This window comes from Homo sapiens, chromosome 14 (assembly GCF_000001405.40).
Source record: "Homo sapiens chromosome 14, GRCh38.p14 Primary Assembly".
Classification (NCBI taxonomy): Eukaryota; Metazoa; Chordata; class Mammalia; order Primates; family Hominidae; genus Homo; species Homo sapiens.
This window is the reverse complement of record NC_000014.9, coordinates 93,088,688-93,115,713: the sequence shown is the minus strand read 5'-3', so window position 1 is coordinate 93,115,713 and position 27,026 is coordinate 93,088,688. Positions and strand designations below refer to the sequence as shown.

The window sequence follows — 27,026 nt, the reverse complement described above, 5'->3', positions numbered from 1 at the left end:
CCAGGGGTTACGGCCCGGCTGGGAACATCAGAGGGCGAGGACCCGGGCGGGAGGAGGAGGGAGGAAGGGCTCGGAGGCCGCGCTTCTGCCGCCGCCTGAGGGCGTGTGGCTCGGGCCCGCGCGGCGGGAGGGCGGGCAGGGCGGGGGCGGTGTCTGCGGAGGCCCGGCTTCCCCTCCTGCGGGCCCTGGCCCCAGCTCCGACTCAGACTCAGGCTCAGCCGTGCCCCAGCCTCAGCCGGCAGGCCGGGCGGCGCGGCGCTCGCGAGCCGGTGGGCGGGCGGGCGAGCCCGCAGGCGGCGGGGGCGTGGGCGGTGGCAGCTTGGCCCAGCCAGTGGCCTTCCGCGCTGAGCGCCGCTCCCTCCTCCCGGCCGCCCGCCGCGCCCCGCCCCGCTCCGCTCCGCGCGGCAGGACTGCGCGCCCCAGCTCCGATCCCCGTTCCGCGTCCCCGCCGCCGGGAGGAGGTGCCCACTCGCTCGCGGCGCGCGCCGGCCGCCAGACTCGGCCTGTGGGCGATTTCCTCCGGACCCAGGCTCCCCGCCCGAGGAGGAAGATGCAGACCTTTCTGAAAGGGAAGAGAGTTGGCTACTGGCTGAGCGAGAAGAAAATCAAGAAGCTGAATTTCCAGGCCTTCGCCGAGCTGTGCAGGTAAGGAGGGACGCGGCGCCGGCGCCCGGGGACCCCCGGCCCGAGCCCGGTGACCCCCGGCCCGAGCCCGGTGCAGCCTCATTAGTTGTTTTGGGAGATCGGAGCCAAACGGGAAGAAGCGGCGCGCGGGGAGACTGAGTCCGAGCAGCCAGGTGGCGGTGGCGGCCGCCGGCCGCGTTCCAGGGAAGCGGTGGCCGGTGCGGGCGAGGTGGCACGGACCGGGGCGTTCAGGTGCACTGTGACCCGGCTGGGGAGGCCCCCAGCAGCCCAGGGCGCGGTGGGAGTTCTACTGAGGGTTGCGGAGGGACCTGGGAAATCGGGGCATCCACGCTGTGGGGTAAGGGCTTGAGGGTACTTTTGGACCGGAGTGTTTTTCTTCCTTCGTCCCCTTCCCTTTCATGAAGAAAGGGCACCCACGTTTGTGGACCACCTACTATGTGCCCCGCGTGTGCTCGGCTCTTGAGGCTGTCATTGCATATCATGAGGTTAAGCCCAGTTGAAGCGAGTAGCAATTCTTGGCATGTATGTGGTGATTTGCTGTCTCATTAGAGCCTCGCAGCAGCCCTGCAAATTGGCCAGGGTGGTGATTCTGGGCCACCTGTCTGAGAACGGGGACCGATCGGCAGAGGAGCGGGGTACCTAGCTTGGGGTCCCGCAGCTAGGGAGTGGCTGGTGCGTAGAAAGTGCTGGGTAAATGCCCGTGGTGTGGAGTGGCCTTCTGCCATCTGGGCTGTGTGCCCCTGCTCCCACCATGCTGGTGCTCCTTGGCGGAGTCTCCGGTGTTTAACAGATCACGTTCTTAATAAATTACAGAACTACTGAGTCTTGGGTCAGGTAGGCCTTCCCTTGCTCCACAACTGTAGCTTTGCCTCTGAGAAGCAGTTAAGCCCTTTTCTCAATGCAAGCCTAAGAGAATCTAGCTCTGAAAGCCTTTTGCAAACTCCAGGTGGAAACCTTTTGTGATGCAGCTTGTTAGACTGATTTTTGAAAATGGGCTCTACTTGCATTTTTGTCCCTGTGGGGGCCCCACACATCTTGGAGAATTGAACAGTTGGGTTTCCGTAACCCCTGGTGCTCCTGGGGGCCCGTGGCTGGTCTGAGCTGGCATGCGCAGGTGAGCCTGGCAGCACCTCTGTGTGCCTCATGCCTTTCCCAAGGGCCTGCTGCTCCTTTGCCCCGTGCAAGCCCCGCAGGCGCTCTTCCTGCAGCCAGAGGGGCACAGCTTGTACAGGATAGTGCCTGGTTCTTTATCCCTTGGTCTGGGGATGGGGTTGGCTGCCTTCTCCCAGGCCGGTTTCCCTAGAAGACAGGCTCTTCATGATCAATAGGGCATGCAGAGTGGCCCCAGCAATTCATGAAGAAATCAGGAGGAGCTCGAAGCCAGAGCTTTGAAAATGAGTCTTAGGACCCTTGGAACATTACAAAAGGGTACTTGAACGTTGTACCGCGGATACACTCACTTGTGGGAAGGGCATTCTAAGACACTAAAGAAATTTGGAGCAGCTGCTTTGGCATGTTCTCGAAGTCCAGTTCTGATGTGAGGCACCGGAGCTCCCCCTGCAGTCATGTAAGACTTGGGAAATCCCAGCGAATACCTCGCACCCTTTGTACTGCTGTCTGTATTTATGTCATCTTGTGTCTGCAACTCAAGCTTGAGGCTTGTCATTGGGTTGGCTTGTTTTGCTTGGTAATTAGGAGGCTCTCGCAAAATATTCTTCGCCGAGACTCACAACTAGGTCCTCGTGCTGGACCTGCAGATTGGCTTGACCTTGTAGACATTCTTCCTTTAAAGGGGTGGGAGGTTCAGAGCAAGCTATGCTATCAACGTTCTGGGGAGTAGAGCATTACTTTCTCTGAAAGAGTTGTTGTCTTCAAAGTCTAGTTGCCTTCCTTTGGCCAAAATATTGGCTTCAAAGAAGGCAGAAGTCATCAGGGCCATTCTAGAACCCGAGGAAGCCCACTTTGTGTTTTCACTAGGGAAGCTTTAGATATTTTATCACTTAAGCCTAAGAAGGAAAAGAAAACACCAAAGAGTTTTTCCGTTTCTTATTTATTACTTTCAGGGCAGTGCCCCCTGGTGGCCACATTTCTATACTGGCTGCAAAATGCTGCAACTGTTGAGCCAGTGACCAGGGAGCCCCGTGAGGTTGTTTTGTTTGGTGTGAGGGCCAATGAGACTTTAGTGGCTGAGAGACAGTGCAAAGGACATTATCATGTTTTCCACATTCAGAATCTGGGGGCGCAGGGCTTCTGTACTGACGACGGGTGATGAATTGTCTATGAATTCCCTAATGAAAAAGTCTAAAGGTATTTGAAAATGGCCCTGCTTTGGGCCGGGTGCCGTGTCTTCTGTCTGTAATCCCAGCACTTTGGGAGTCCAAGGTGGGTGGGTCACGAGGTCAGGAGATCGAGACCATCCTGGCTAACATGGTGAAACCCCATCTCTACTAAAAATACAAAAATTAGCCGGGCATGATGGCAGGCGCCTGTAGTCCCAGCTACTCAGGAGGCTGAGGCAGGAGAATCACTTGAACCCGGGAGGCAGAGGTTGCAGTAAGTCGAGATGGTGCCACTGCACTCTAGCTTGGGTGACAGAGCGAGACTCCATCTCAAAAAAAAAAAAAAAAAAAATGGCCCTGCTCTTAATGTTTGGGCAAAGAATGACCCGAATGGTCCGGCCCGGGGTGGGTTGTTTAGCTGAATGTCCGGCCTTGTAAAAATCTGATCTCAGAGCAGGAAGAGATGTTGGCCATCATCTCATCTAGCCCCTTTGTCTTACAGATGGGGAAACCCATCAAGAGAGGGGGCAGGTTCCGGACTCTTGGTCTTTTCCTTTAACTTCTAGAATGGGTCCAACCTGGCTACCTTGAGATTGCCTTTCTGATTGGGCATCTCCGACAATAAGGCAGTCTCCCTCATTATCTTTCCAGGGGTCTGGTGGCTGCTATTTAGCCCCCAGGACACATTCCTTGCAAAGCTGAGCCCCTCTGCAAGTGTAATCCTTGTCTTGGGGGGAGGGTTTGGGGGGTAGTGCACGTTGATGGCAACAGTGGGTGGTTAGAGCCACTTCATGGGCCATGAAGTGCCCCACCTGCCGTAGGTAGGGACAGGCGCCAGCCTTTTCAGATGTGCACTCTGATAGGATGGGGCTCTGCTAGCCAGCAGATGGGCCTTTGAATCCACTTGTTTGTCAGTGGTACTGTTTGTTCCTGTTGCCATCCTGTTTCTTCCCCTTTCTCTGGGGACACGGCTCTGGTTGTGTTCTCTTGTACCCCTCCCACCTGCCTTCCCTAGCCTGGGAGCAACCTTGTAGGTCTCCCACACCACCCCCTCTTTGTGGCTTTTTTTTTTTTTTTTTGAGGTGGAGTCTCGCTTTGTCGCCCAGCCTGGAGTGCAGTGGCGCAATCTCGGCTCACTGCAACCTCCGCCTCCCAGGTTCAAGCTATTCTCCTGCCTCAGCCTCCTGAGTAGCTGGGATTACAGGTGCGCACCACCACGCCTGGCTAATTTTTGTATTTTTAGTGGAGATGGAGTTTTACCATGTTGTCCAGGCTGGTCTCGAACTCCTGACCTCAGGTGATCCGCCTGCCTTGCCCTCCCAGAGTGCTGGGATTACAGGCATTCCTGGCCTTTGTGGCTTTTTCTAGATGCTCAGAAGGGGCTTCAGAGGGGGAGTGAAGAAATTAAAGCTGTTAGTTGGAAATACTGGGTGATATTAATTTAATTTTAAATTTTGTAGTTCTGTACAGTGCCTCACTGGGGAATACTGGCTGGCCCCAGTTTCCTCAGCTCATGTTTTCTGTGCCTCCTCCTCTCCTCCTCTCTGTCCCATTCTTTCTGTGGCTGAACCTACGTTGCAGGAGGTGGGGGCGGAAGAGGCACATGACTTGGTGAAGCTTTCCATATAAAATTTGGGTGAACCTTATCTGTCTTTACTGTAATAATTGCTGATTTTTAATGAAGTGCTTCCAGGGACCTCATCTCATTTAATCCTTCCAGCAGCCCAGGGATGGAGGGATGAGGGATGGAGGGATGAGGGATGGAGGGATGAGGGATGAGGGATGAGGACATCCCTCGTTGGGATGGAGGGATGAGGAAACAGAGGCTCCGGGAGTCTATAGGACCTGCACAGCCAGCTAGAGGGCTTTCTTGAGTCCACTCCTGAGGCCTTTGCGCTGAGAATGTGGCTTCCCTTGTTTATTTGCCCAGGTTAGGCTGGGGCTTCCAGGAGGCTACAGAAGCACAAGAATGTCTGTGAGTTTCTCATCCTCCAGAGACTTGGAGGCCAGCTGGGCTGACTTGGCTTGCAAGAAACGTGTTTCTGGAGCAGTCTCAGACCTTGGTATCCCACCAGGGACCCTTTTGTCCCAATACCTTAGAAGGGACTGAGGAGTTCATTAATGTTCACGTTTATGACCACCCTTGGTAGGTAGCCCAGGCCTGCATCTGCTCTCATGGGTCTGGGAGTTTGGTGTCAACAGTAAACTGGCTTGGGAGGCGTGCCAGTGAGAGTGTAGCATGCCACCGGGCCTGTCCCTTCCCCTTGGGCCCTACATTTGTTCCTTTAAAATAGGGCCATCTCCAAGGTCCTTTTCTACAGGGATGGCTTAGCATTCTGGTCTGGAATTCTTTCGGGAGATTCTCTGCAGGGAGGAAGGAGGATCTTTTCCAGGATTAAGTGATGCTGGTCTGTGGGTGGGTATTTTTTTATTTGTTTTAATGTCTGGATTTGCCACCATTTCGGGGGTGCAGAGGTGGGAAGAGGTGCTGACTTAGGTTTTCTTTGCAGCAGTGCACAGGGAGTATTCATAACCCAGCCTTGCAAATGAACACTTTCTACCAGCCTCCTGGGGAGCAAACAGAACTTCACATAGGAGGAAGCGTCCGTGTGCACATGGATCTATTGAAGGGACTGCCTCAGTTTCAGGCCTGACTCCACGACTGACTGCCTATGTGCCCCATGACCCTCGACACATTCCCTACCCCTCTGTGCCTCACTTTCCTCATCTGTGAGGGTAATAATTTAGCTTAGGGTTGCGAGCATCAAATGAGGGAATTTGCTAAAGGGTCCAGGATAGTGCCTGGAATTCTGTCAGTGGCGGCGGCCGCTGCTGTCGTCGTCCCTGTGGAGTGAGTGAGTGGGTCTCTGCCCATGGATGCCTCTCTATTCAGGGACCTTTGGCCTTTGTAGATTTAGTGTTCTTGGTTTTGGCAGTTTGCAAGTCACCCTGAAGGCCACGATGGCTGAACTGATCATCTTGCAGGGATGTGGGTTTGAGGATTTGAAACTGTTCAGTGGGCATAGCTAAGGAGGGGGCCCAGGCTTGCCTGGTGGCCTTTCAGCATCACAGCGGGGTTCTGTTCTCCTTCAGCACATGGCCCATCTGAATATTACAGCCCCCCAGGAGGTGGAGGTGCTGTCCCCACCTACTTTATGGATGGGGAAGCTGAGAAATTTATGTTAAGATGCTACTTGTATTTTTTTAAGTTTGGAGATTGAGAAGAGTTTGTTCTGGATTTCCTGAAAATGCCAAGTCTCCACTGGTAATCTTGTTACTATTACTAGCTAACATTTATTGTTTTCTGTATCTTTTTGAATATTTAAGACATGCACATATTAAAAAAAATTCAGAGGACTCAAAGTATACAATGAAACGTCAGCCCTGTTCGCTTCTCATTGCTGAGTTCCAGTTCCCTGGGGCAGTCTGTCTCTATAGGTGTTTATGCACACTCAGGGGCGCGTGCACGTGTAGGTCTCTCCATATGTATTACTGTTGTGCTCTTGCACATTGCATGGGACTGTGTGTCTTGGAGAAACTCCACATCGCTGCTTCATTTGGAGAAAGTTTTGTATCATTACCTCTTTTTTTTTAAACAGCTGTGTGGTCCAGTTCTTAAAAGGATGGAACATGTTTCTTCCGCTGGTGTTGGTTTCTGCTGGTATGGGCAGCATGACAATACCCCGTCCCCTTGCCTGGGTGTACATTGCTAGATGAGGAGGGCTGGGTCAGAGGGCACAGGCATTTTACTTTTTCATACTTTTTGTGTGTATGTGTGAGACAGAGTCTCCCTCTGTCGCCTAGACTGGAGTGCAGTGGCACGATCTTGGCTCACCGCAACCTCCGCCTCCTGGGTTCAAGTGATTCTCCTGTCTTAGCCTCCCGAGTAGCTGGAACTACAGTCATGCACCACCACACCTGGCTAATTTTTCTATTTTTAGTAGAGACTGGGTTTCGCCATCTTGGCCAGGTTGGTTTCGAACTCCTGGCCTCAATTGATCTGCCCACCTCGGCCTCCCAAAGTGCTGGGATTACAGGTGTGAGCCACTACGCCCAGCTTTTTCATACATGTTCTGAAACTGCTCACAAAGAAATTTCAATATGTCAGTCCCAATGACAGTGAATGGGAGAGCCTGTGCTGCGCACCCTCCTGCGCTCAGGGCCGGGACAAATCTGTGGGTGAGATGGTCCTCTGGATTCATATTTCACCTAGTGAGATAGTGAGATTGAGGAGTTTAGGTTGCTGGGGGCTGACTGCAGGCACCTGGAAGAGCTGGGTGCACCTGCATGGCAGGATGGGCATCAATGTTTCTAACCACTGGGCCATCCTGCCTTTACCGGTTATTTCTCCCACATGGTTTAGCAGGTTTGGGACATTCAGTAAATACTTAAAGTCAAGTGCCCCATGAGCACAGTTCCTGAACAGCTGGATGTAAATAGGGTTTCAGTTCCCACTCATTTTGAATTCAGCTGGAAAGCTACATTTGAGAGAATACTATGGCACTTCCCTTTTAAAAAGTAGCATTCATTTTAGGAAGCAAAGCATTCAAGAGCTGTGCACCTCCTTCTTTCCCTCGCAAAGTCACTGTCTTAAACACCTTCCCCATCCTGCATGAATTGGGCCCAGCCCAGCCTCTCCCACTCTGGTGGCCCTTGGGGAGCCGGCCCGGGTGTGTGTGGCCTTGCTCTGGAGAGGGTGTGGGACTCCCGAGAACTGGCCCATGGTCACACAGTGGAAATGTGGGAGGGGAACTTGCCTCGCTCCAAGCCGAGTGCTCCCCACTCACCACTGGCCAAAGCCTCCTTGTGAACAGGCCTTTCCTCCCGGCTGCGGCCCACGGTGTGTATTAGAGTGGCCAGGCCATACCTGTGGGGCCCTTTGAGTCTTTCTGGGGCTTCGTCTTGCTGCTCTGAGCCTGCTCAGAAAGCAGCTGCCCTTGTGGCCTGCATCTCCCCAGCAGAGCCTCATGGGCTGGTTTCTGTAGGCCCATCCTCTGGATGGCCCCTGGGAGTGCTCCCACAGCCATTTTTAGGGTTCGGTGGGGTGGATCTGAGATTCGTGTCAGAGATCCCGTGGAGCCGTGGAGCGTCAAGAATCACTCTCACAAGGGAGCTCCAGACTCCAGACCCCGCTCCGCATCCCCCCACCCCTCCAGGCCCTTGAGTGCTGGGTGCCCCACCCTGTTAATTGCTCATGATGTTCCAGGGCACACCTGTGGCAGAGGCCACCTGCAGACTCAGCTGCCCCAGAGGGTGAATCGGGACCCACAGGCCAAAGGCCCTCCCAGACAGCTTCAGGGAGATGTCTTCGTTCCAAACCTCTCTCGCCGTCAGAATCTTCACTGATACTTAGGCCCCCACCACTGGGCCTGTTCTTCCTCTCTGACTTGCTCATTGTCCTGCTTATTTTAAGTCTGTCTTGTTTTTAAGTAGTTGGTTCTATGAAGGTAGAGATTTTGGCAGCTTTATTTACTGCTGAAACCCCAGTGCCTATACCAGTGCACATAGGAGCTCAAAAAAGAATCTGTTAGTGGCTGGGTGTGATGGCTTACACCTGTAATCCCAGCACTTTGGGAGGCTGAGGCGGGCAGATTGCTTGAGGTCAGGAGTTCAAGACCAGCCTGGGCAACATGGTGAATACCTATCTCTACTAAAAATACAAAAATTAGCAGGGCATGGTGGCAGGTGCTTGTTATCCCAGCTACTTGGGACGCTGAGGCAGGAGAATTGCTTGAGCTCGGGAGGTGGAGATTGCAGTGAGCCAAGATTGCACCATTGCACTCCAGCCTGGGTGACAGAGCTGGACTCTGTCTCAAAAAAAAAAAGTATGTTAGTGGATCAATAACTGCCTGGTGGTTTTTGGAAGCCTTTTTCATGTCCCTATGGCTCAGCCAAAGCCACTTGTGACTCTGGAATGCTCTGGGCCAGGAAGGAAACCCCAGGGGTGGGGGAGATGGGGAGAGAGTTAGGTGGTAAGTCCCAGGTTCCGGAGGGGCTTGTGGGCAAGTCCTGAGCATCTGCCCTGGCCAGGCCTGTGCTGGGTGCTGGTCCTTGCCGGCATGTACACCTGCAGGAGGTGAAGGCAAACCAGCTCTCAGATGCACTGGAAATGCTGCAAGGTGTGACTAGAGCCAGGAAACCTGCAAACAGGAGAGAACTATGGCGCAGTGGCTGCAGCCACTTTAGCACTCTGTGGTCAGAGAAGGCCTCTCTAAGGAGGCGACATTCAGCAAGAGGGGCCTAGAGCTCTCTCCAGGAGCTAAAGGACCCACAGGGTGGACGGTGTCCACTTTGTAGAGGCCACACACCCTGGCCTCTACCATAAGCCTTATAAGCCTCTGCCATAAGCCCTGGGTTCCATGTGGATTGGAGGGCAGGCAGCTCTGGGCAGAACTGAGGCCGGTTTCCACCTTAGACAGGGTGGTTCAAGGAGGTGTCGGGGTGTCCTTCTAGAGCCTTGTTTCCTGACAGTGTGACCTTCCTCCCATCCGAGGGAGGCTGCAGTTATGCCCTCGGGGCCAGGGATAGGAAGACAAAATGCTCCCCGTGGGTCTGGTTCAGTCCAGCCTTTGTGTTCTGGAAATGAGCCGCTCTGGGCTGTGGGGTGGTGGGGTGGATGGGGTGGTAGTGGGTGGGTCAGCTGACCTTTCTCAAGAATCAGGTTAGGTCTCAGGTGCCCAAGGGAGCCGAGGGAAGCCGCGCCTGACCTGTGTGCTCTTTGGCAGTCATCGATCTTCCTCCAAGTTACTTGTTTGCCAAACTTGCCCAACAAAAGAGACACCAGGGGATGGGCGTGGTGGCTCACGCCTATAATCCCAGCACTTTGGGAGGCTGAGGCGGGCGGATCACCTGAGGTCAGGAGTTCAAGACCAGCTTGGCCAACATGGTGAAACCCAGTCTCTACTAAAAATACAAAAAATCAGCTGGGTGTGGTGACTGGCACCTGTAATCCCAGCTGCTCGGGAGGCTGAGGCAGGAGAAACGCTTGAACCCGGGAGGTGGATGTTGCAGTGAGCCGAGATCGCGCCACTGTACTCCAGCCTGGGTGACATGAGTGAAACTCTGTCTCAAAAAAAAAAAAAAAAAACCCCACAAAAATTAGCCAGGCGTGGTGGTGGGTGCCTGTAATCCCAGCTACTACTCGGCAGGCTGAGGTGGGAGAATCGCTTGAACTCAGGAGGCGGAGGTTGTGGTGAGCCGAGATTGCGTCACTGCAGTCCAGCCTGGTGACAGAGCAAGACTCCGTCTCCAAAAAAAAAAAAAAAAAGCTCCAGGGGCACTGGGGAGAAGGGAGAAGTACACATCCTGAAGTCTCCCTTCCCTGTGAGATGAAGATTCTCCTGGGAAGGGGGCTGGGGAGCTCCTTGTGAAGTACCCTGATGATTTTTATGGGAAACTACTCACTGTCATTTCATGAAGTGCCTCAGAAGACCTTACCCCAAAACTGTCAGGCGTGGGGAAGCACCGAGTTAGCCAAGGCTGAAGCAGTGTGTTTCAGACTTCTCAGGGGCAGGTCCCCTCCAGGAGGTTTGCTGGAGCCAGAGGTTCCCAGGCTGGCTCCTGGGTCTCTGTACCCTGAGCTCACTGTGGGAATCTCCAGTCTGGCACCGTTCACCTGAGGCCTCACTGGAGCCCCCTCATGCAGGAGGGAGACATGGCAGGGGCACCAGGTCGTCAGCCCAGCCCAGTTCTACCTGCTGTTGCTACCTTTTGCCAAATTCCTTCTCAAAAGAAGCCTTTTCAGATTTCTTGCCTCTGGCTGCTGGTTTGCCCGGAGTGTATAGAAAGGAGCTAGTTTTGCACAAGAGACATTCCTGGGACCGATCTGGCCAGATAGACACTTGTGGCGTTTTCCTCAGCAGTTTACGCTGCAAACCCATGGACTCCTCAGCAACCATTCTTATTAGCCTGGGGTCACTCTGGGCGCTCTTGGAGCCCAAGCCAGAAACTGGGACTCTGGGTTTGTTCAGGCGGCCTGCTGTGCTTTGGCAGGGCTGTGTTGCTTCCTCTCTGCCCCCTTGTACATTCATGGCTCATGCCAGATCTCAGAGGATCCTGAGAACCTACCATGGGGGTCAGGCACTATTGCAGATGGGATAACTACCCTCCAGGATGGCTGAGGGGTCTCCATTTGCTAGATGAGGGCCCTGAGACTCAGGGAGAGGCCAGGTGCTGTGAGCAGCACAGCTTGGATTCACCCTCAGGGATGGGTGACTCCTGAAACCATGCTGTTTCCACTCCGCCAGGTTGCCTTTGTCTTCAACACAGCATCCAGCTGCCGTCGATCGATGTCAGGAAAATCAAGGAGTTCTGTTCTTTTTTTTTTTGAGATGGAGTTTCGCTATTGTCACCCAGGCCGGAGTGCAAGGTGTGATCTTTGTTCACTGCAACCTCCACCTCAGCCTCCCCAGTAGCTGGGATTACAGGCACCCGCCATCACACCCAGCAAATTTTTGTATTTTTAGTGGAGAAGATGGGGTTTCACCATGTTGGCCAGGCTAGTCTCAAACTCCTGACCTCAGGTGATCTGCTCAACTTGGCCTCACAAAATGCTGGGATTACAAGTGTGAGCGACCGCGCCCTGCCTCAAGGGGTTCTTTTCTGAGCATCCTTTGTGTGCAGTTGTTGGGCCCAGGAGGATAGTGCATGGTGGAGATGGCAGTGAAGTTGGAGCATGAGACTTGTCCTGAGCCTCTGCCCTCCCAACTGTAAGGTGGGTGCAGTGCACCCGCCCTAGGGCCAAATGATAGGATTCCCCCTCCACCCAAGAGGCCACCTCACCTGCCCTCCTACCCGCCCAAGGCAGGGCCTGGGGCCTCTGACACATCTCTGCTGGGAGCTGCCACCCATCTTTTTCTGGGGGATCCTCCAGTGGTCAGCTTGCTGCTTCCTGGGCAGGGCGGGGCATGGTAGATGGGTGCAGAGAGAACCCTCCTGTGGCAGTTTCACTTTCATTTCTGCCTCACACCCTGTTTCCATCCAACAGTCAAGGGCTGGGCTGCGGAGGTGAGGAAACATCCGGTCTCCACCCTGGGGTACTTGTCCTAGTGCAGGTTCCCAGGCCTCCCCCTCCCCTGGAATGAATCTGGGGTGGGCCGTGGCATCTTCTTTTTAAAAAACACCCCATTCATTCCTTTATGCACTTACATGCCACATACTTACTGAGTGCCTGCTGTATGCTGGGCACTCCTGGGTTCTGGGGATTGATACAGCAGTGAGCACCACAGTCTCCTGGAGCCCCAGGGTCAGTCTTAGGGAGAGCTTCAGGGCAGTTGTCTCACCACTGGGAGCTCTTGCCCACAGTGTGCTGGGTCACGTACCTCTCAGGGTCCTGGGCTCGTGAGTTTCTTCTTCTTCTTATTTTTTTTTTGAGATGGAGACGGAGTCTTGCTCTATTGCCCAGGCTGGAGTGCAGTGGTGCAATCTCACTGCAACCTCTGCCTCCCGGGTTCAAGCGATTCTCCTGCCTCAGCCTCCTGAGTAGCTGGGATTACAAGCACGCGCCACCACGCCCGGCTAATTTTTGTATTTTTAGTAGAGATGGGGTTTCACTGTGTTGGTCAGGCTGGTCTTGAACTCGTGATCTGCCCGTCTCAGCCTCCCAAAGTGCTGGGATTACAGGCGTAAGCCACCATGCCCGGCCCTATTTTTCTTTTTTTCTTTCTTTCTTTCTTTTTTTTTTTTTTTTTTGAGATGGAGTCTTGCTTTGTCGCCCAGGCTGGAGTGCAGTGGCGCGATCTTGGCTCACTGCAAGCTCCGCCTCCCAGGTTCATGCCATTCTTCTGCCTCAGCCTCCCGAGTAGCTGGGACTACAGGCGCCTGCCACCATGCCCGGCTAATTTTTTGTATTTTTAGTAGAGACAGGGTTTCACCGTGTTAGCCAGGATGGTCTCGATCTCCTGACCTCGTGATCCGCCCACCTCGGCCTCCCAAAGTGCTGGGATGACAGGCATGAGCCACCACTCCCAGACTTGTTTCTGTCTTTTTTGCCGTTGTTGTAGAGACAGGGTTTCACTGTGTTGGCCAGGTTTGGCTGTAACTCCTGAGCTTGATCGATCGCCCGTCTCAGCCTCCCGAAGTGTTGGGATTATAGGCTTGAGCCACTGTGCCTAGCCAGCCTATTTTCTTTTTCTTTTTTGTTAGTCTTGCTCTGTCATCCAGGTTGGAGTGCAGTGGTGTGATCTTGGCTCACTGCAACCTCCACCTCCCAGGTTTAAGTGATTCTCGGACCTCAGGTGATCCTTCCACCTCAGCCTCCCAAAGAGTTGGGATTACAGGTGTGAGCCACCACGCCCAGCCCAGCCTATTTTCTTTAAGATTTTAAAGTCCTAACATTCGTCATGGGATCCTTGAAAAGAAAAGGAATTATGGCCTTGCCACTAGAGGCCTTTGCCGCCTCCCTGCAGGAAGGTGTGTCCCGCGGCATTGGGATCGTGTTGGAGAAAGGTTTTGCTTCCTGCACAGTCAGCTCCCAAGCACCCTTTTTATCACCTTGACCTGGGCGCAGCCAAGCCGTGGCCTGTGCTTGCGGAGATTTGGGTGCCCCATCCTCTCGCTGCTCTGGGGAAGCCTGTAGCTGTGGAGAGGCCAGTCCAGGCCCCAGCTTCTGACCTTTGTCTACATATCAGGAGGAGCCCTCCTGGTGAGGAATGTGCCTCGTTCTTTTGGGGGAGCTGACGAGGTGCCTGTAGTGTGGAGGGTTAGGGGCAGGGGAGTCCCTCCAGAAATGCACTTAAGCTTGCAGAGTCACCCTGCCCTGCATTGTTAAGTGGTATAAGGACAGTTAGCTCCAGAAACAGCAGTGGCTCCTGTCTCTGGAGCTCTAGCTTCATGCCTGACATGGTGCTGAGCGCTAACATGTGGCTCTTTGAAGCTGTCAGTCCGTATGTGGAGACTGAGGCTCAGAGAGGGTAAGTGACTTTCCCGGGGTTTCATAGCCGATCACCCTGGGGGTGGGGTTCAAACATCAGTTTGCACAGTGCCGCGATCTCAGGTCACTGCAACCTCCACCTCCTGGATTCAAGCGATTCTCCTGCCTCAGCCTTCCGAGTAGCTGGAGTCACAAGCGCACGCCTCCACGCCCAGCTAATTTTTTGTATTTTTAGTAGAGATGGGGTTTTGCCACATTGGCCAGGCTGGTCTCGAACTCCTGACCTCAAATGATCCACTTGGCTTGGCTTCCCAAAGTGCTGGCATTACAGGCGTGAACCACCGTGCCCGGCCTCGGCTTCTTACTAGGTGGATGACTGTGGGTGTGTTTCAGCTCCTCTCTGGGCCTTAATTTCCTTGTCAGTAAGAGGTGACCTTGTGCTCATGCATAGGAGGGGGTCAGCACATGCAAACTTCCCTTCTGTGCAGGGCAGAGGCCATCTCTGGAAGGAAGAAGGGGGAAAGTGGCCCCTTACTCACCTGTGTCAGGTGGTATCAGAGTAAACCTCCACAGAGTCCAGAGGTACAGAGATTCACGATCTTAGAGGAGTAACTTTTGAAAACCTTTGAGCCAGAAGAGGCCTTTGCGTGTAAGGGTTTGCAGCTCAGAGTGGCTGGCCTTGCAGGGTCACACATGTAGAGCTTTGGGCTGACAGCTTCGCAGCCCAGAAGTACACCTGTGGCCTCCAGGGAACCTCTAGGAGTGTGAAGAGGCGAGGGTGTGTTCTGTTCTGGGCCATGATTGGTGGACCCCATCCCGGCCAGGATGAGTTATTTTTGTTGATGGGCCCTGTGGTCTCTCCTAACCTTGCTGGGAATGTGACAGGAACCAATTCTTTGGATTTGGGATGCTCTCCTGGGAAGGATGGGGGAGTGAGTGGGTGCCCCTTCCCTGACGCAGCCATCTGGGACGTGGGCAGTTCTGTGAGTGCTTCTGCATGTGCTTCAGGCTGGGACCCCCTGGACAGTGAGACCTATGGAGTGGGCCACATGGCTGCAAATCTGTTTCCATTGCTGTGTGCTCCAGTCCTCTCACTCTCAATTAACCAACAGATGTGATGAGTCATTGGGGTCTCGTCAGCTAATGATCTGAGCAGTAAGTCGATTGTATGGCTGATTCCTAGAGCCACAGGGGTGGATGGGTTCTGACAGGAGCCTCAGTGCTGAGCGGGTTCGGTAATAAAGGGGATGTATTGGTTCCTGAGTCAGATCCTTGGGGCATTCTGGCTTCAGGTGTAGGTAGACTCAGGCGACAGTCCAATAGGGCCTGGTCTGTCTGTCTGTCTGTCTCTCTCTCTCTCTGTCTCTCTCTCTCTCTCTCTCCCTCCTCTCTCCCCCCGGCCCCCTCCCTGCTTCCCTGGTCTCTTTTACATTGGCTTCATTCTCAGGCCCATGTGGTGCAAGGTGAGTCCTCACCCTCAATCCTTATTCTCAGCCAGGCACTGTGGCGTTCCTTAGGTGTGTGATCTCATTTGATCCGCATTAACAGCCCTGGGAGGGTGGTGGTTTTAGCATTCCTGTTTCTCATAGAAGGGCTAAGTAACTTGCCTGGGGTCACACAGCTGGTAGGGGCAGAGCTGGGATTCAGAGCTGGTTGGGTTGGCTCCAGGGTCCCCCATCCCTCATGCTCCAGGTCCACAGGGACAGGGATTCCTTCTGTTGGCCTCTGATTTGTCATCCTGGGCCACATACCTGTCTCTGAACCAGTCTCTGGGGCTGGGGAATGCAGCGCCTCATTCCCTTCTACATGGCCTGAGTGTGGGCAGGGTGGATCCCCAAAAGGATGCTGCAGGGGCACTGTTTCCCAGAGGCAGGGGAGGGATGTTTGGCAGCTGAGGTGGGAGTGGACGTGCTCCCTGTTTCTGGGCTTCAGTGGCTGGCCAGAGTGAGGCTGGGGGCTGCTCTCCCTCAGCTTCCAGCTCTGGACCCAGCTTGCAAAGACTTGGACGGGGGCCTGAGGGTTCGCACACAGAGTCCAGGGCTAGGACGTTGTTCCCAAGAAGGGAGTGGAGAGTACCTACCCCCACAAGTCTGAGCCCCAGGCTGGCCTACCCTGTGCTGGGCACCTCTGCTTGGGGTTCCAGAATTCTCGGAGGCAGCTGGGTGGGAGTGCTGGTGGGAAGCTCCGGAAGGGAGGCTGCTCGGGGCCTCCCTGTGGCTGTGGCTGCATGGGCAGCCCCGAAGCGGCTTCCTGGACCCCACCTTGTGCCTCAGTTAAACCTGAATCTGGCTTATTCCCACGGCCAGCCCGACACAGGCAGATTCTGAGAGTCCTGGCTGCGCCCAGCAGCCAGCTGGGTGGGTGGACATACTGGAGGGCTGATGTCCTATTTGTGGGCTGGGGTTTTTCCGGGCCTTGGGAAATGCTGCCTGAGTTCCTGGAGAAGGATGACATCTTTCCTGCCCCACTGTCGCTGTCGCTGTGCAGAACCTTGGTGTTTTGACACTGATGTGTTCTGGAGCTAAACAATCTCGTGTTATGTAAACACAATTAGCCTGTTGCTGTTTGACCCTGTCCTGCTTGGGGAGGGTTGAGAAGGTGTCTTTTTGCTGGATCCTGGGAATTCTGAGAGCCTGGAGCAGCTGTGAACTAGTGGCTGGGGGTTGTCGGAGCTGGAGGGGAGTGTTGGTCTGGGGAGGGCCACTCCTGTCCAGGACACTCCGCTCCGATATACTAAGCCAGACCCTGGCCCCCCACAGCTGAGCAGGCCTGGTGGAACTGCGGGGAGGACATGCTGGACTATTTCCACCCGGAAGGGGAGAGGAAATGAACGGTGAGTGGCTGGTGGCCACAAACCCAGGATGTTCCATATATCAGGGCCCCAGTTCCGAGGGCCCCGGGCAAAGGGGCTGGGCTGGAGGTTGGGAGAAGTGCAGGGTGACAGGCCCTGGTTAGAGTATGGGTCCCTTATGGTTCCTTTCTGAAACGAGTGGGGCAGGTGAGGGCAAGGCCTGCTCAGAGCCCCTTGCCCCGGGCCTGCTTAACTGCTGTGGGTGCCTCTGCTTGGTGTTCCAGAATTTTCAGAGGCGGCTGCATGGGAGTGCTGGAGGGAAGCTCGGGAAGGGAAGCCGTTCTGCCCTGCCTTGGTTGCGGCCGTGTGGACAGCCCTGAAGTAGCTTCATGGGCCTTTCGGTGCTGCACAAGGTGGCAGAAGCTGGGACCAGCGCTCAGACCCCTGCTTTGCCGCTGAGCTGTGCGGCCCTGCACCATGGTCTCTATTTGAGGGCCCTCAGCTCAAAGGCTCTGGGAAATGAGTTTGGGACCCATTGCTTCTGGTTTAGCTGGTGGGGCTGGTGGACCTGTCAGGTTGGACAAGCAATTCTTGTGCCTTAGCCTCCCAAGTAGCTGGGGTTACAGGCGCCCACCACCACGCCCGGCTAATTTTTGTGTGTTTTTTTTTTTTGAGACGGAATCTCGCTCTGTCGCCCAGGTTGGAGTGCGGCAGCGTGATCTCGGCTCACTACAAGCTCCGCCTCCCGGGTTCACGCCATTCTCCTGCCTCAACCTTCCGAGTAGCTGGGACTACAGGTGCCCGCCACCATGCCCGGCTACTTTTTTTGTAGTTTTAGTAGAGACGGGGTTTCACTGTGTTAGCCAGGATGGTCTCGATCTCCTGACCTCGTGATCTGCCTGTCTTGGCCTCCCAAAGTGCTGGGATTACAGGCATGAACCACCGCACCCGGCCATTAATTTTTGCATTTTTAGTAGAGACAGGGTTTCACCATGTTGGTCAGGCTGGTCTCAAACTCCTGACCTCAAGTGATCTGCCTGCCTTGGCCTCCCAAAGTGGTGGGATTATATGCATGAGCCACCTGGCCCAGCCCACACTTGGCTAATTTTCTTTTTTTTGAGATGGAGTTTTGCTCTTGTCGCCCAGGCTGGAGTGCATTGGCGGCAATCTTGGCTCACTGCAACCTCTGCCTCCCAGGTTCAAGTGATTCTCCTGCCTCAGCCTCCTGAGTAGTTGGGATTACAGGCACCTGCCACCATGCCTGGCTAATTTTTGTACTTGTAGTAGAGACAGGGTTTCACCATGTTGGCCAGGCTGTTCTCTAACCTCTGACCCAAAGTGATCCGCCCACCTTGGCCTTCCAAAATGCTGGGATTACAGGCATGAATCACTGTGCCTGGCCGATTTTTCCCATTTTCTTGCTGTTGTAGGTACAGCTGCATTGGGCATCTTTGTGAATATAAATGTCTTCCTTCCCTTTCTGATTCCGTTACGTGTAGGTAAAAGTTTTTATCAGTTATTGATGCATAACAACCCATCCTAAAAACTACTGGCTTTAAGCAATAAGCATTTTTTCATCCCACAGTTCTGTGGGCTTTGCTGCGTAGCTCTGGTCTTGCTAGGAATCCCTTGCGTGTGTGTGGTCAGCTTGCAGTCTGGTAAGGGGTCTCTGCCCTGGGGCTTGACCTTTGGCTAACCGAAGGCGCTGGGCATGACCTGGCCTCCTTCTTGGCTTTCCTCAGGCTGCTGGGCTTGTTCCTGACACTAACAGTGGATGTTTCCAAGGCCTCTGGAGGCCCGTTTGTGTCTCTACAGTTTGTTGGCCAAAACAAGACCCAAGGCCAGCTAACATTCAAGGGGTAAGAAAATAAACTTTACCCCTTGGCGGAGGTGTCAAAGTCATTGCAAAGGGCCTGGATACAGGGAGGGTCAAGCCCTGGGAACATGTCTGCACACAGAGTGTGTGATCCGGGTCTGCGCGTTGGCCGGCAGCCCATAGACCTTTCCCAAATTAGTACCTGGCAGGTGCCCAGCTGGTGCTGGGCTGGGTATGGGGAGGGGCGGAGAAGTCGGGTTCATAAGGAACAACTGTCATCATTCAGAAAGCTTTTCGAAGTGTCCGCTGTGTGCCCAGCTCTACCGACCCAGGTATTGTCAGTCCTGGTTCTTCAGGAACTTGGCTTTTGCTTACAGAGGGAAGGCTCTGTGGGTGACTGACCAAGGGACTCGGTGACGTCAGTGTCCTGTGTGGTGGTGGGAAGTTTTGTTCCTGGATTGGGGCCTGGTGTTATCTTTGTGGCAATCCCCCACCTCCATGATGAAGTTCATTTTTCTCAGCTGGAAGAGGAGGTTAGAACATTGGAGCCCCTACATTCTAGAACATTCGAGCCCCTACATTCTTGAACATTCCAACTGGGAGAGCCCTTGGGATTTTCAGTGGGGAAACCAGCGGTGAATCTGCAGCCAGGACTAGCTCCTGCGCTCTCTCCTTCTCCTTGTGCTGCTGGGTGCCTGTGTTGTTTCCAGATTGCATCCAGACCCAGGATTTCCTGTTGTTGTTCTTCGTGTGTGTTTCTTCATTAGAACAACTCCTGCATCCTCTGCAGAGCTGTTTACAGGCATCTATTGGCCTCCCTCCGTGCCAGGCCTCGTGGTGCATGTGGCCAAGTGATGGCCAAGATGGACAAGGTCTTGTCATTTGGAGCTTTAGTCTGTGAGGGCTATAGGGAGGGTACAGACATGTCAACCAGTGAGTTACAGGGATGATTTTATCTGGGATCGGAAAATGAAGTGATGACAGTGATATGAAGGGGTCTGGGGACTGTCCTCACATAGTCAGAGAAGACCTTTCCCAAGGAGAGAGCTGTGGCTGCTGCTGACAGGTCAGAAAGGAGTCAGTCGCAGAAAGCTGGGGCTGCGGCATCTCAGGCAGGGGAAGCGGGTTTAGCAAGTGCAGAGGCCCCAGGGGCACAGGAGGGAGCCGGAGCTTGGTGTGTTGGTGAGCTGTGGTTGGAGGACGTGGCCGGGGCAAGGCCTGGGAGGACAGGGCCGTGAGGAAGCAGGCAGGGCCAGGTTTCTCAGCGCTTTCCAGGCCCCAGCATGCAGTTTGAGATTATTTTACAGGAGGTAGAAGGCAAAGGCTCTCATCAAATTACCCCACAACATAGTCCGTGAAATACTACTCAGCCATGAAAAAGAACACAACCCCATCCTTTGCAGCAACATGGATGCAGCTGGAGGCCATTATCCTAAGCAAATTAACGCAGGAACAGAAAACCAAATGTTTCATGTTCTTACTTATAGATGGGAACTAAACCTTGGGTATATATGGACACAAAGATGGGAAGAGTCAACACTGGGGACTACTAGAGGGGGAAATGGGAGAGGGGGGCAAGGGCTGAAAAACTACCCATTGGGTACTATGCTCAGTACCTGGGTGATGAGATCATTCATACTCCAAACCTCAGTGTCACACATTATACTTGTAACAAACCTGCACATGTACCCCTGAATCTAAGATAAAAGTTGAATTTATTAAAAAAAAAAAAAAAAAACCTAGTCCGTGACTCTAGGTGACCCTTTTAAAAGCTTTGGGTGGTGCTGATAAGTGTGACTGTGTCCTGGAGCGGCTTCATTACTTCCCATCCCTCCAGCTGCCTGCCACAGGGCCCAGAAGCTGGCTTTGGAATTGGAGGGACTGGGTCAAACTTGCTTCTGCTCCTGTCTAGCAAGTTAGCGAGCTTCTCTGAGCCTGTTTCTTTGTCTGTAGGATAAAAAAAGCACTTCTTAACTTCTGTGGTTGGTGTGTCAGTTGAAATAATTATTAATGGTATAAAGTTCCATAGTTCACTGCCTGCTAGATTTATTTACAATTACTACAAATAACTCATCGTAGGCCCCAATCAGCGGTAGATGGTATTACTGTGGTGGTGGTGGTGGTATGTAGGTGGTGCTGTGGTCTGGGTTTCAGACACCATGCGGGGTGCTGGAGCACCGAGTTCCTCCTGCACCCCGGGAGCCCAGTTGGTGCGGAGACAGAGACAGGAGGTGAAGTGTTAGATGAACTCTGCTCGAGGAACAGAGCAAGTTTCTCTATCTGGGAAGATGGAAGAAAGCTTTCCACAGGTGGTGACCCTTGAGAGGTATGTTTGAGGGCGCAGGGAGCTCGCTCACGGACAGGTATGGATGGAAGGTAGTGGAGAAAGCGGGCAAGCCTGTGCCAAGGCGTGACGCTGTGGAGCCAGGAGTCCTTCAACACGGACTCTGGGCATGTAGGGCCGGTGCAGATGGGTGGCTGTGGGGAGCCCCTGGAAGCCTGGGCTGAGAGCCTCTAGGAAGCAGTGGGCTGGCTGTGGGAGGAACACCCCTGCCTCTCCCTGTGCCTGCAGTGGGTCCCGTCCCCACGCTGTGACTGCCAGGTGTGGACACATGCTCGTCAAGTGGTGAAGAACGTGGAGCCGGTGGGCTCACCGGCTTGGGGCCTGGCTGCCTCACTGGGAAGCTTGGTGGCCCTGGGAGGTCATTGAGTGTCCCTAAGCTTCCGCCAGGGAGATGATCGTAGGGCTGGTGTGAGGGGAGATGAGGAGTCTGTGTCTAGCACCCAGCACAGGGCATGCACTGATAAAATGATGGCTTCACCCGGCTCCCAGGGGCCACGTCCAGCTGACAGCTCCTTGGTGACTTAGCTGTATGGGTGGTGTGCAGCTGGCACTGCTTGCTGGTCTGGGGGAGACATCCTAGGCTGGCCTGTGGAGGACGTTCCCTCTCAGCCTCCTCTGAGCCATGGGCATAGGTGAGTTTTCAGAAAAGCCCATACCGACGGTGATTCAGCTCTGCTTCTTGCTTCCTTCTGTCTTATTCTTAAGTCACCCACAGGGCAGCCACCTGCCAGTGTCTGTCCTCCAATCCCCTGCTCCAAGGAACTGCTCTAGGCAGGGAAGAGAGAGGAGGAGGAGGCCCCGCATATCCTCGGGTAGAACGGAGGAGGAAACTGAGGCTCCTCACAGAGGTTAACTAACCTCTGCTAGACCACCCAGGTGTAAGAGCTGGGATGCCCCCAGACCCTCCCTTCTCCCGGGAGCGGTGGAGCCGAGGCGGTGGGGGCCTGGCTGGAGCGCCCCAGGAGCTGAGAGAAGTTTAGTCCACCTGGAGCTTGGCAATCGGGGTGAGGATCCCTTTGAGGCCGGGTTGCACAGGATCCTATAAGCCATCATTGTACACGCTTGGGCTTTGCCCTGAAGGCTGGGGGAGCCATAGCAGTTGTGTGAGGTTGGCTGCTGGGTGGAAGCCAGGGGCTTGTGGGATTGGAGGGGGAGGCTGCTGCGATTGTCCAGGCAGTGGTGGTCTAGATCGTGCAGTGGTGGTGGATATCAACTCTTCAGAGTCCATCCAGGTCTGAGGACTCATTAGCAACCTCGGCTATTCCTCGACTACTCAGGATGTTGTCTGTATGGGGCCGGTGGCCTCAGCACTCCTGGTTCCTCAGCATCGCCACGCCCTCTGTATCCACGGACTCAGAATCTGTGTTTTAACAAGACCCCCAAGAGGTGCCAGTACACACGGCACATTCATGTTTGCAAACACTGGTTTAGGGAACCTGTTGACCTCAGCGCAGGGCTGAGGGGGGAAGAAAGGACTGAGGTCAAGGCCTGACTTCATGAGGAAGGGGAGGTTGGGGAGCGGGGGAAGAGGAGATGATGTCGGAGCACTCAGACTTCTGACTGGGAGGAGGGCTACATCACCCCACGCCAGGGGCGGCTTGAGGACTAGTGCAGTTATAACACAAAGGGCCGAAACGGCCTGGCCGCTGGGGCAGGGCAGAGAGCTGGGCTCCACAGGGCAGCCTGCACACCCCATCTCTGCCCTTGGAGGCCCTAGAACCCTGTGGACCCTGTCCTTTGTCCTTTCTGCCGTGTCCATGTAGGTGTGGGTCGTGTCTGCCCCACAGGTTGGGTATTTGCCGTTGTGCTGTCAGCAGATGGGTGTTGAGCCCATGCAGGCCTGGACTTGGTCACAGAACGGCATCCTGCTTGTTGAGTAGCCATCCTGGTCATGAGGGGTCATGTGGTAATGAGTGTATGGAGAGCTGGGGGCGTCATTGTGAAGACCAAGTGAAGCAGCAGTCGGATCTGGGACAGAGGTTCCTCTAGGGAAAGACTATTATGGTCTGGGGCACCCTGGAGGCACGCGCCGTGGCTGGAGGGTGGGTGAGTCTGTGGCTGGTGGGTTCGGCTGAGGCAGGGGAGTGCGCTCTTCAGCCCAGCCCCCTGGCCTGGGCCCTGCCGTGCTGGAGTCTCCTGGTGCCTGGAGGCTGAGTCGAATGCAGTGGGGCTGGGCAGAGGGTGCCCTGGCTGTCGTGGGGTGGAAGCTTGGCTGACCCAGTGGACATCAGCCAGGACCACATTAGGCCCAGCTTTGGCTGGGTTCCCCACAGCTGTGCCCAACGGCATCCCTGGCCTCCACCTACTGGATGCCAGTACTACTCTCGTCTTCCAAGAATGTCTGCAGGTACTTCCAGATGTCCTCTGGGTGGGGGGTAAAATTGCTCCGTTGAGGGCCAGTGCTGGCTGAGGGTTCTTCATCATTCCCTTCTGGTCCCAGCCTGGCTGCACTGCCACCTGGCGAGCTCTGTTTCCAGGCAGTGGGTCAGGCCTGCTTTGGGGGCTGGCATGCTGTCCTCCCTCACCCATGTCAAGGCCCGTGTAGCCATGTGCTGACATGTGCTTGATGTGACCTGGGAGTCAGAGCGCCTGGCTTCCTGCTCCAGGCTTCCGTGGTGCCGTAAGGACCTCAGGTCTGGGGGTCAGGAGGCCTGGATGGAAAATCCTGGCACTCTGGTCCTTGTAGGGGACCCTGAGCCTCGATTTTGCATCTTTGGCGTGGGGCTGTGGTAGCCTTTCCATGGGTGCTGGTGGAGGCTGCGAATGCCAGTGTGCCCACCCTCCCCATGCTGGGCTTAGCGTGGGTGCCTGGTGACAGTGTGTTAATCTCCCCTTGACTTCTCTGTGACCTCAGATAAGTCCCTCTCAGTTCTGGGCCTTGCTTATAAAAGGGTTCTTGGGCTCTCTTCTGTGTAAAAAGTGGGGAATGAGGTGGAGAGCCTGGGGGACAGGGGAGTCATGGGGTTGGACACCGTGCCAGAGCCTGTGGTGCTTTAAAATCAAGGCTCAAACCCAGGGTCCTGAAGAGGGCCGAGCAGCAGCTGAGGTCCGAGTGCACCCGGCCTGCCAGTGCTGCCCAGGAGTGGCGCCTCCCGTCATCCCTCACGCCCAGCAAGGACCCAGTGTGACAAGAGCATGGAGTCTGGACCTGGCAGAGCTAGGTTTGCCTCCTTGCTCTTCTATGACTAGCTGCATGGCTCCTGGAGCCTGTCTGAGCTTCAGGTGCCACACCTGAAGACTGAGGTTAAATGGGAGGCGGGGAGGAGCTGGTGACACTGACTGGATGCCACTATGTGCCAGCCTCATTCATTCCACCCTCTGGCAGTGTCCTGAGTTACATGCCCAGCCACCGTGCTATTTTCCAGGCCGGAAAACCGAGGTGTAGAGCCCAGCACTCGGCGTAGGAGGCACACAGCAAGTGAAGCCATCCTTGTTGACATGAGCTGGTTGCTCTTGGCATTTGAGTCTGAATATCAAAGGCCCTGAAGATTAAAAAGAGAGAATGAAGAATGATGTGCCTGGTGCCTTCTTGGGAAGAGCCCGAGGCCAGCTGTGGAGGGGAGCAAGACTGGTTCTGGGCTGGGCTTCCTGGCCTGGTGCTTTCCTGGGCAGCTGGAAGTGCTTCTGTGGGAGCTGTCTGGCCCTGGCGCCGTTGTTGGCTTCATTATTTTTTGCCTGCAGGGGCCTGAGTATTCTGTACTGACGGGAAAACATTTGTTGGGCTGACGCTGTAATCACACCACAAGGGACACTTGAAATTATATCTGTATTTGGGAAGCTAATTTTAAAGAACTTTTTCTCTTCATAATTATATGCAATCAGCCAGCTAGTGTTATTGGGGATTCTCTTTTTCCCTCTTCAGCTGAGAGGCCATCTGCCTTCCTCTTCCTGCCTTTCCTTCCAGCACACGGTGAGCCATCTCCCTGGGAGAGGGACCACTGGCCCTTGGCTGCCTGCAAGCCCCAGGGAAACCTTTCCATGGTGATTGCGGAGGAAGGGATGAGGAGGAAGAGCAGGGGAGGATGATGGGGGCCTCTGGCTTGGCTACAGGATGAGTCCGTTTTCAAGACTGGAGGCGCAGGTTGGTGATGGAAATGATGGAGTGTAGCGTTTCGATTTGGACATTGAAGCAGCCAGGGCTCTTGTGAATGCAAGTGGCAGAAAATCCAATTCAGATGAGTTTAAGCAAAAAGAAAAAAAAAATACATTTCTTGGCCCAGGTAACCAAACTGGCACAGGAATAGTCTTATCCCTCAGGTCCCCAGACATTCCTCCTGTCCCTGGAGTTTTATTCCTCATCAGGAGGAATTTAGTTCCAGAAAACGCTGGCCAAAAAAAGAAAAGAAAAGCCCCCGTTGCCCACCCCCTGCAAATGGGGCTCATTCCTCTCTATCTTGAGCTCTGATCCTGACAAGTAGGGTTTCTCCAGGATGGTGGCTAGCACACCAGTCAGGGATACGGGCTGGACATTTAGGGTTGGCACGAAGTGGACTCTGTGGATTGTCCTTCACACGGGAGGCATTCAGGTCAGGAGAATATACCATGTGCTGGCCCTTCAGGTCTCGATCTGACCACCCTTTCCAACACCCTGGGTTCCTCTGTGTCCTTCCTCTTGGACCGCCCTCTGAGAGGATGGTGCGAGGAAGAGGCTTCCGTGTTGTGCATGGTAGGCAGGGATGGGGGCGTTCCAGGGGCGGACAGCATGGGCAGGTGGTCAGAAGTGTGAAAGAACCGACCTGTGGGGCACGGCAGGAAGCCCGGTGTGCTAGGAACAGATGGGGCGAGACTTGCTGGGTGAGGAGGTGTGCACCTGCTGCAGAGGCCCAAGTGGTGGGGGTGAGGGAAGCCCAGGGGGTGAGTCTGGGCAGGGGCTGGGGGGTGATGAGCCATGTTTCAGATGCAGAAGGTGCAGAGTGTGTGTGCAGGGACAGCAGGGAGACCGCCTGGTGGCCTGCACCGCAGAGCTGTGTGTCTCAGGGAGTGGGAAGCCCTGCCTGTGCTGGCCTCAGTTCTTCCGCTCTTCTGGAATTCTGCATCCTTCTTTTGACATTTCTCTCTAATGCCCAGGGTCCTGGCTCTTGGCTTTGGCTTGGTGGCAGCTGTGACCCCCTGCATGGGGCTCTGAGGGATTATTCCAGCTGTTTGGGGACTGTAGCCATGGCTCCCAGCTGCAGAGCCTGACAGGCCTGGAGGCCGGCAGGAAGAAGATGGGGGCTGTGCCCGCCTGCCGAGAGCTGGCTCTGAGACTGACTCTTGGCACTGGGGTCCTCTGAGGCCCCAGGCTCATTCTCACCTCCTCCAGAGACCCAGCTGACATACCATTCTCATGAGCTGCAGTCCTGTGACCCAGCTGATTTCTGTCTCATTGGTGGAACCCTTTAGAGGTGGGGTAGGGCTCCTAAAACATTAGCCCTACTGCCTTCCCCACAGATTGGCCTCTCTTCCCTGCCTGTGGGCATCTGGCATCTGCTTGAATCCTTCTTGTCACGGGGTGCTCATCACCTCTTGACTGCCTTCCTATGGAAGCCAGCAACCTCTTCCTATGGTTGAGCTGAAATCTACTTCATAGGAAGGGTTCCTTCTGCCTGGAAGGTTTGATATTGGACAGGACTGTCAACCGTGTGGAGAGGGGAGGAACAGGGTGCTGGCTCCCCCGGCTTCTGGGCTGGATTGACCCAGGGCGTGTCTACCCCACAGCATCCTGACATGCCAGAGGCTGGACCTTAGGAAGTGCCTTCCGGGCCCTTCACTGCAGGCCTGCTCAGGGGCTGCTCCTCAGGTCTTGGGGCCCCTGGGGCAATGGCATCCATCCTTTTGGCCTCCTGGGGTCAAGGTTCTGAGGGAGGATTAGGGCAGCAGGTGGTTGGGTGGAGAGGCAGCTCTGTCCAGAACAACCCTGTTCCAGAAATCCCAGAGCCTCATCCCCAACAGACCCGGTGGGCCCCCCACCATCACACAGGTCCCCTTTCTCCCCAGGAAGTCACACAGTGCTGTGGGATGAGGAGGGTTTCCTGACAGATTTGGGGAGAGCGGGCCTGGGTGGGGAGTAAGGGAGCCTGGGAATTACTGGTATTTGGATGGGTTTAGATTGTGGTTCTGCTTCTTACCTGCTGTGAGTCTTTGGTCAGGATACTGAACTGCTCTGAATTTCCCCACTTGAAAAGAGGTGACAGGCCAGGCGCGGTGGCTCACATCTGTAATCCCAGCACTCTGGGAGGCCAAGGCGGGAGGATTGCTTGAGCCTGGGAGTTTGAGACCAGCAACCTACTGGGCAACATAGT

General features: G+C 54.8%; 1 protein-coding gene across 4 annotated transcripts in view, besides 2 other annotated features; it reads left to right on the top strand.

Annotated features, from left to right (window-relative positions):
- Positions 1–27,026, top strand: part of ITPK1 (inositol-tetrakisphosphate 1-kinase) — a 179,012-nt gene that overhangs the window by 212 nt on the left and 151,774 nt on the right. For 3 of the 4 annotated variants that reach the window (XM_047431351.1, NM_001142594.3, NM_014216.6), the window contains exon 2: positions 409–645. Coding sequence is in view for 3 of the 4 variants with exons in the window: in NM_001142594.3 (NP_001136066.1) it covers positions 551–645 (95 nt within the window). In the remaining variant the exon portion in view is untranslated. The remainder of the gene's footprint in view (positions 1–408; positions 646–27,026) is intronic. The other variant, NM_001142593.3, reaches the window with a different exon arrangement.
- Positions 16,403–17,395: an enhancer, noted in NCBI's record as "H3K4me1 hESC enhancer chr14:93564664-93565656 (GRCh37/hg19 assembly coordinates)". NCBI's record gives its function as "activates a minimal SCP1, AML or CMV promoter by ChIP-STARR-seq in naive H9 embryonic stem cells {active_cell/tissue: H9 hESC(naive)}" and the evidence as "EXISTENCE:reporter gene assay evidence [ECO:0000049][PMID:30033119]".
- Positions 23,035–23,542: an enhancer, noted in NCBI's record as "H3K27ac-H3K4me1 hESC enhancer chr14:93558517-93559024 (GRCh37/hg19 assembly coordinates)". NCBI's record gives its function as "activates a minimal SCP1, AML or CMV promoter by ChIP-STARR-seq in naive H9 embryonic stem cells {active_cell/tissue: H9 hESC(naive)}" and the evidence as "EXISTENCE:reporter gene assay evidence [ECO:0000049][PMID:30033119]".